This window comes from Homo sapiens, chromosome 10 (assembly GCF_000001405.40).
Source record: "Homo sapiens chromosome 10, GRCh38.p14 Primary Assembly".
NCBI lineage: Eukaryota > Metazoa > Chordata > Mammalia > Primates > Hominidae > Homo > Homo sapiens.
Window position 1 is genome coordinate 124237176 of NC_000010.11, and position 7173 is coordinate 124244348.

At 49.3% G+C, this 7173-nt stretch overlaps 2 annotated features.

Annotated features, from left to right (window-relative positions):
• Positions 1539-2738: an enhancer, noted in NCBI's record as "CDK7 strongly-dependent group 2 enhancer chr10:125927283-125928482 (GRCh37/hg19 assembly coordinates)". NCBI's record gives its function as "activates an origin of replication core promoter dependent on BRD2, BRD4, P300/CBP, MED14 and CDK7 cofactors, with strong dependence on CDK7, by STARR-seq in HCT116 cells {active_cell/tissue: HCT116}" and the evidence as "EXISTENCE:reporter gene assay evidence [ECO:0000049][PMID:35650434]".
• Positions 3840-4403: an enhancer, noted in NCBI's record as "NANOG-H3K4me1 hESC enhancer chr10:125929584-125930147 (GRCh37/hg19 assembly coordinates)". NCBI's record gives its function as "activates a minimal SCP1, AML or CMV promoter by ChIP-STARR-seq in naive H9 embryonic stem cells {active_cell/tissue: H9 hESC(naive)}" and the evidence as "EXISTENCE:reporter gene assay evidence [ECO:0000049][PMID:30033119]".

The window sequence follows — 7173 nt, forward strand, 5'->3', positions numbered from 1 at the left end:
TCCCTGAGATCAGTGAATCCATGCAATTGCCTAAACAAACTGCAGCTCTGCTAGTGGGAAGAAGACAGGAGTAGAATAGATGTTGTGTGGTTGACAATGGCCCTCCCCAGTGGCTGGCACCTTCATATTCTTCCTTCCTTCTATCAAATCTGTTTCTCCAGAAAGGATTGCAATTAAGAGAAATCAAAGTGATGCCTGGCTGGATTATTTGGCCTTTAAATGTCTGGGTCTGGGCCTCAGCACAGCTGACCCTGGAACTGCATATCATCCTCTTGCCCAGGGGCCTGGCTAACACACAGTAAAATGATAACAGGCTAGTAATCAACCAGATAGCAGCATAACCACTCAAACTGAAGGATAGAGCTGTCCCAGGACCTAATACCCCAGGATGGATCCTTTCCTATTTAAGATACCACTGATTGCCTTCAACTGATCATTGAAAATTAGCAGAGCTATTTTAAAATTAGACTACTCAATGCTTGTAAGGATGCATAGAAATGGGCTTGATCACAGGCCGCCTGCTGTAGGGTACATCATTGCCATACATTTGGAAAGCATCCTGGCCTTATCGTGAGACTTAAATATATGCAAACCCTTTGATCTAATAATGTCACGTCTAAGACTGTCTTCTAAGGAAATAATTTGAATATTGAAAAAGCTTTATGTACCAAGTTATTTCTGGCAAGATTATTTATAATAGTGAAAGCCTAGAAACAGCCAAAATAGCCAACCCTTGGAGGACAGCCATTGACATATTTTTATTTTCTGTGTAGAATATAGTCTATGAAGGGGAAGTGACATAGATGGATGGATGGATGGACAGATGGGTGGATGGATGGATGGGTGGATGGATGGATGGATGAATGGACGGATGGATGGATGGGTGGATTTTACTCAATGACTGTTATACATTCCAAAAATATGGTGATTGCAAAGGGTTTATAAAGGGAAAATGTGCTTGGATAAAAGACATCAGTTAAAGTAATGGGTACCATCTGATTATTAGTATATGAAAAAGGCTGAAATAAAATACTCCCAAATGTAATCATGAGTGGTGAAGGCATGGATGATTTTTATTCCTTTTTTCTACTTTATGCATTTTTTATTTTTTATTTTATAAGCATGTACTGTTTTGTAATAAAAATTATTTTAGAAAAATATGAGTGTTGCTAGGTGAGCATGGAAATTGGATGGGTTGAGGGACAGTTTGTACAGCTGGGGCAGCATTTGGAGAACCTTCCCTGCCCTGCTTTGGACCTACTCTCTGGTGACTGCAGTCCTTGTGCAGCCAACATCGGCGTCTTTCTCTCGCCGGCCTATCCCAGGGGAGCCAGCTTCTCCGGCCAAGGCCCTTCTGGCCTCAGCTGGGACACACCTTGCCTTTCTACAGGTAGTCAGCTCTGGCCACCTTGACTCATTAGTCAGGCTTGGCCCTTCCTCCAGCTCCGAGTCATCCCTTCAGGTAGTCCTCCTGCAGAGACTCGCTCTGTTGTGTTGACCTTCGTCATTCTGTTCCCAAAATGTGATGGCATTTAGCTGAATCAGCTCCAAATTCCAGGACAGCTTTTTCAAGTTCCCTATACACTGAAGAGGGAAAAGATCTCAGACATTCCTTCATTTTCATTCAAAATTAAATTGGTAAGATTCATCTCTATCTTTATTGTCTGCTGTTATTCAGTTTTACTGCTCTATAACATCCCAATGTATAAACATATCACAATGTATTCATCTATTTCTTTCTGTTGATGAGATTTGAGCTATTTTCAATGTTTTGATTCTAGGAACAACACTGCTAGGAACAGCCTCATACACACCTAGGACAGGAATTGCCGGGTTTCCTCCCAGCAGGGCTTGTGAAGGCACAAATTTGCAAGCCATGCCAAACTGTTTTCCAAAATAGCAATAAAATTTTGAGACAAAAAATCCAAAAAGATTATACAAACTCTGTACTATCTTCTCAATTTTTCTGTAAACCTAATATTGTTCTTTTAAAAACTTATTTTTAAAAACTTTATAGCATAATGCCCTTTTTCAAAGTTAAAAATGATGAAAAGTAACAGTCTTTTTCAGGACTGCATTGAGATGTGATCAAATGGATGGCAAGGAAACCATCAACAGGAGTCTGTTCCCTTGGGTGAGGCAAGACCGCGTGCTCAGGCACTGTCAGTGCTCCAGCCCTCTTGCAGGATGAACACTCATTGGTGCTCATTAGAGTGAAATAAACAGAGGGAGGGAGGGAGAGAAGGAGGGAGGGAGGGAGGGAAGAAAGGAGAGAGGGAGGGGAGGGGAGGGAGAAAGGAAGGAAAGGAAAAAAGAAGAGAAGGAAGGAAGGGAGGGAGGGAGGGAGGGAGGGAGGAAGGAAGGAGCAAGGGGGAAGGGAGGGAGAGAGAGGGGGAAGGGAGGGAGAGAGGGAGGGAGGGAGGGAGAGAGGAAGGAAAGAGGAAAGGGAAAAAGAAGAGTGTGTGTGCACTTGCATCTGCGCACTCGTGTGTGCGTGTGTGGGTGTGTGTGTGTGTACGTGAGCACATGTGTGTATTTTTACTTCCCAGGTCCTTGCCCCGGTACCTGCACAGGACCCCACTCTCAGGGCCAAGATGCGGCTTGTCCCAGCCAGCTGACTGCAGCCCGGAGCCCTGGCCTGAGCTCCCAGTGGAGTCCCTGCTCCCACATCGCCGCCCACCAGAATACACAGTGTCCTCACTGGGACACGTGGCTCTGATCTTGTCCCCTTCCCGACCCTGTGTCTTCCTGACCTGCTTCCATCCGGGCCTACTCATCTCTCACCTCCACTATCGTTATCACCTCCCGCTACTACCCCTGCTGCCGGTCTCCTGCCGCCAGCTACCTTCTTTCTGAGTCCTGAGTCTGACCACATCACACCCCTGCTCAACATCCTTCAGGGGGCCGGAAGCAATGGCTCATGCCTATAATCCCAGCACTTTCGGAGGCCGAGGCGGGCGGATCACTTGAGGTCAGGAGTTCAAGACCAGCCTGGCCAACATGGTGAAACTCCATCTCTACTAAAAATACAAAAATTTGCCAGGTGTGGTGGTGTCCGCCTGTAGCTGAGGCAGGGGAATCACTTGAACCTGGGAGGTGGAGGCTGCAGTGAGCCGAGATCACACCACTGCATTCCAGCCTGGGTGACAGAGTGAGACTGTGTATCAAAAAAAAAAAAAAGTCCTCAGGGGCCACGGTAGCCTGCACTCAAGGCCTGCATCCGGCTCCAGCTCCACCTGGCCTCCTTTGCCCTGTGCGCCGAGTCCAGCTCCTCCCTTTTCCCCGCATGACCCACTTCCTTGCTCTTCTGCGGCTTGGGGCACGTGTCCCCCACCTGGAAACCCTTCCCATCCCCAATCTCCTGCTGCTGCTGGGGAACGTGTGATTCCCCTCCCAGACCCTGCCTGGGAGCTCTTCTCCTTAGCTCCTGCCCCCCTTTACCTCAGTGCCCACCCCCCAATTTTGGCACCCCCAGGAGGCCACTCAACAGCACCCGCCATCCATGTTCTTATCCTTTCCAGCAGACTGTGAGTGCCTTGAGGGCAGGGCCCTCAGGCTTCATCAAATCCCAGTGCCTCACTCAGCAAGTGCTCACTGAATAAATGAAGGACATGTCCCCTTTAAAGGTTAAAGATGTTTGACTTCTCTCTGCAATTACATTTTCCATCCTCTGATTCAAAACCTTGCTGGCCTGGTGGGAGGAAAGACCAGTGGGAAACATCTGCCTGGTGAGTTGACACGGGTGGGGACGGAGGACGGAAAGAAATCTGGCGTCTCCCGTTTACCACGGAGGCTGAACTTGGAAGGAAAATGTGCAGTCCCAGCAGAATGGACGAGTGAGGACAGCAGCTGCCCCGGGGCTGCCCGCGGGCTGAACGGCAGATGGGGGACTCAGGCGGGGGCCAGGGGTCTGCAGGCCCCAGGCCTTCTCTGGCCACAGTGGGGAAGAGCTGATCCAGGCCGGGCCAGCTGCTGGCCCGGATGCTCTTCCTCTAAAGGATGTTTCATTCCTGATCCGTTTCAGGGAGGGATGGAGAGAGGCGCCCTGTGGTGCATCTCTTTTGTGTGCCTCAGTAGGAGAAGCTGGGGGCAATGTTCCTGTCGGGAAACAACTGCATTTTTAAAAGAATAATAGAAGGTTTACTTAAGGACAGCGTCTGTCCCAAAATTACCTTACAGAGAGAGAGACATGGAGAAGATGAGGAGGAAAGAGGCCTGGCCTGACCCTCAGAGGCCCATTGGGCAGCTGGTTAGAACCTGGAATGGGCTTGGGAGGCACATTTTTTTTTTTGGTCACTATTCTGCGTTGTTGCTCAAACTGAACTTTTTTTTTATATATACTTTTTAAGTTCTAGGGTACATGTGCACAACGTGCTCCCCACCCTGCGTCCGAGTGTTCTCATTGTTCAATTCCCACCTATGAGTGAGAACATGCAGTGTTTGGTTTTCTGTCCTTGCGATAGTTTGCTCAGAATGATGGTTTCCAGCTTCATCCATGTCCCTGCAAAGAACATGAGCTCATCCTTTTTTATGGCTGCATAGTATTCCATGGCGTACATGTGCCACATTTTCTTAATCCAGTCTATCATTGATGGACATTTGGGTTGGTTCCAAGTCTTTGCTCTTGTGAATAGTTCCACAATAAACATATGTGTGCATGTGTCTTTATAGCAGCATGATTTATAATCCTTTGGGTATATACCCAGTAATGGGATGGCTGGGTCAAATGGTATTTCTAGTTCCAGATCCTTGAGGAATTGCCACACTGTCTTCCACAATGGTTGAACTAGTTTACAGTCCCACCAACAGTGTAAAAGCATTCCTATTTCTCCACATCCTCTCCAGCACCTGTTATTTCCTGACTTTTTAATGATCGCCATTCTAACTGGTGTGAGATGGTATCTCACTGTGGTTTTGATTTGCATTTCTCTGATGGCCAGTGATGATGAGCATTTTTTCATGTGTCTGTTGGCTGCATAAATGTCTTCTTTTGAGAAGTGTCTGTTCATATCCTTCACCCACTTTTTGATGGGATTGTTTGATTTTTTCTTGTAAATTTGTGTAAGTTCTTTGTAGATTCTGGATATTAGTCCTTTGTCACATGGGTAGATTGTAAAAATTTTCTCCCATTCTGTAGGTTGCCTGTTCACTCTGATGGTAGTTTCTTTTGCTGGAGATGCATCTTATCCATAGTGGTTCAGGAGCCCTCCTGAAAGGTAGAGGGCCCGGGGCCATGTTGCCCCAGTGCAGCTGGAGGTCATTCTTCAATACCCTATTTGTGCCCTCCAGGTGCCAGCCAATCTGTTGCCAAGTATCAGCCAACAAGTCCCCCAGTGCCTGACGGCAACCACTTTCCTTCCCTCTCTGATCATTTAGCAGCCAAGCCATAGGGGGCGGGGGCAAGGGGTGCCTTGGGGCCTCCCTGCTTTATAGCCCCATAGAGAGCAGGGCTGAGAAGGATGCAAGCCCTCGTGCAGATCAAAGATGCCGTTTTGCCACAGGGGAAACAGAGGGGGAAGGGACTTGCCCAAGGCCACCCAGCAAGCCGGGGCTGAGACCCGGAGGGGCTCCTTTCATAGCTGAGCCAAGAGCCCAGGACCCTCATCCTCACTCAGGGTCAGCAGTGGCTTCCTTGCCTGCATGGTGAAAGTCCAAAGGCCTCATATTGGTGAGAGCGCATTCATAGTAGTGACCCCTTGCCTTTACTTACTGATACTTACTACCGACCTCACTCTGTTCTAAAGCACTTGACCTGCATCATCGTGCTGAACCTTCATAATAATTCTGAGGAGGGAGAAACAGGCGGGCCCATTTCACAGATGAAGAACTTGAGGTTCACAGAGGGTAGGTGGCCTTTCCACAACCACTTGCAGGTAGGCTGGAACTCAAGCCCGGACAGTGAAAGCACTCAGACACCACCCCCCCACTGACCCAGAAGAGCAGTGAGGCGGGGCTCTCTCAGTTCTCTCAGGACCGATCCTCACGGCCTCCCTTCATCTAAGGTCAGGGAAACACTCAAAGGGTAGACGTTAAGGCTCTGGAGACATGTGACCAGTCGTGGGGCTCTGTGCATACCTGGCCAAATCTCCTGATCCCACTGTGCCTCAGTTTCTTCATCTGTAAAAAGAACATCCTAAGAGTACCGACCTCACAGCATTGTTAGAAGGACTGAGTTAGTTAGGACCACGCCTGACACAGCACATGGGTGGACAGAATGCTGGACCTGAAAGACATCCACGTCCTAATTCCAGGTCCTGTGAAGATGTTCCCTTACATGGCAAAAGGGACTTTAGAGATGTGATTAAATCAATGATCTAGAGACCGGGGTGGGGGGAGGGGGCAGTTATCCTGGACTAGCCAGTGGGCCCAGTGCAATGTAATCCCATGGGTCCTTACAAGAGGGAGGCAGAAGCGTCAGATAAGGAGAAGTGAGGACAAGCAGAGGTCCAAGCAAGGCAGGCTCACGAGCCAAGGAGGGCCACCTCTAACAGCTGGGAACACCAGGAATCGGATTCTTCCCTGCAGCCCCTAGAAAGAACCAGCTCTGCTGACACCTTGACTGTAGCCTAATGGACCAATTTGGGGCTTCTGGCCTCCAGGACTGCAAGATAACAAAATCATGTTGTTTTAAGCCATTACATTTGTGGTAATTTGTTCCTCGCATGATAGGAAGCTGACGCAGGGCACTGGCGTTATCATTATGATTAACTACAGGAGCGCTAGTGTGGGCTGGGCCTCTCACTGTACCCCGGTGATAAGTCAGGCAAGCCCTGGCCCGAGAGGACCCCTCAGACCAAAGAGAGACAGAGGCGCATCCTCGGAACAGCGGAGCGCAGGAAGGTTGTGACTGTGACTGGCGGGGCTGAAACAGTGGGGCTCAGAGTAGGGCAGCTGCTCCACAGACAGGCTGGGGAGGAGCTTCAGCTCTTCTGCTCCGTTCACACCTCACCACCCGGCCTGGAATCGTACCCACCTCTACCACCCAGTTGACCCAGGACACAGCCCAAAGCCCCAGCCGATCTTCTTTACTCCCAGGCCCTGCCAAGTGACAGTCTCCTCCATGTCCTCCACCATCTTCACACGCCTCTGGCATCGTGGGGTCCCCTCCCGGGATGGGCTGAGTTATTTCTCATTATGCAGCCATCGTCCATTTGACCGTGACTGAGCAGCGCT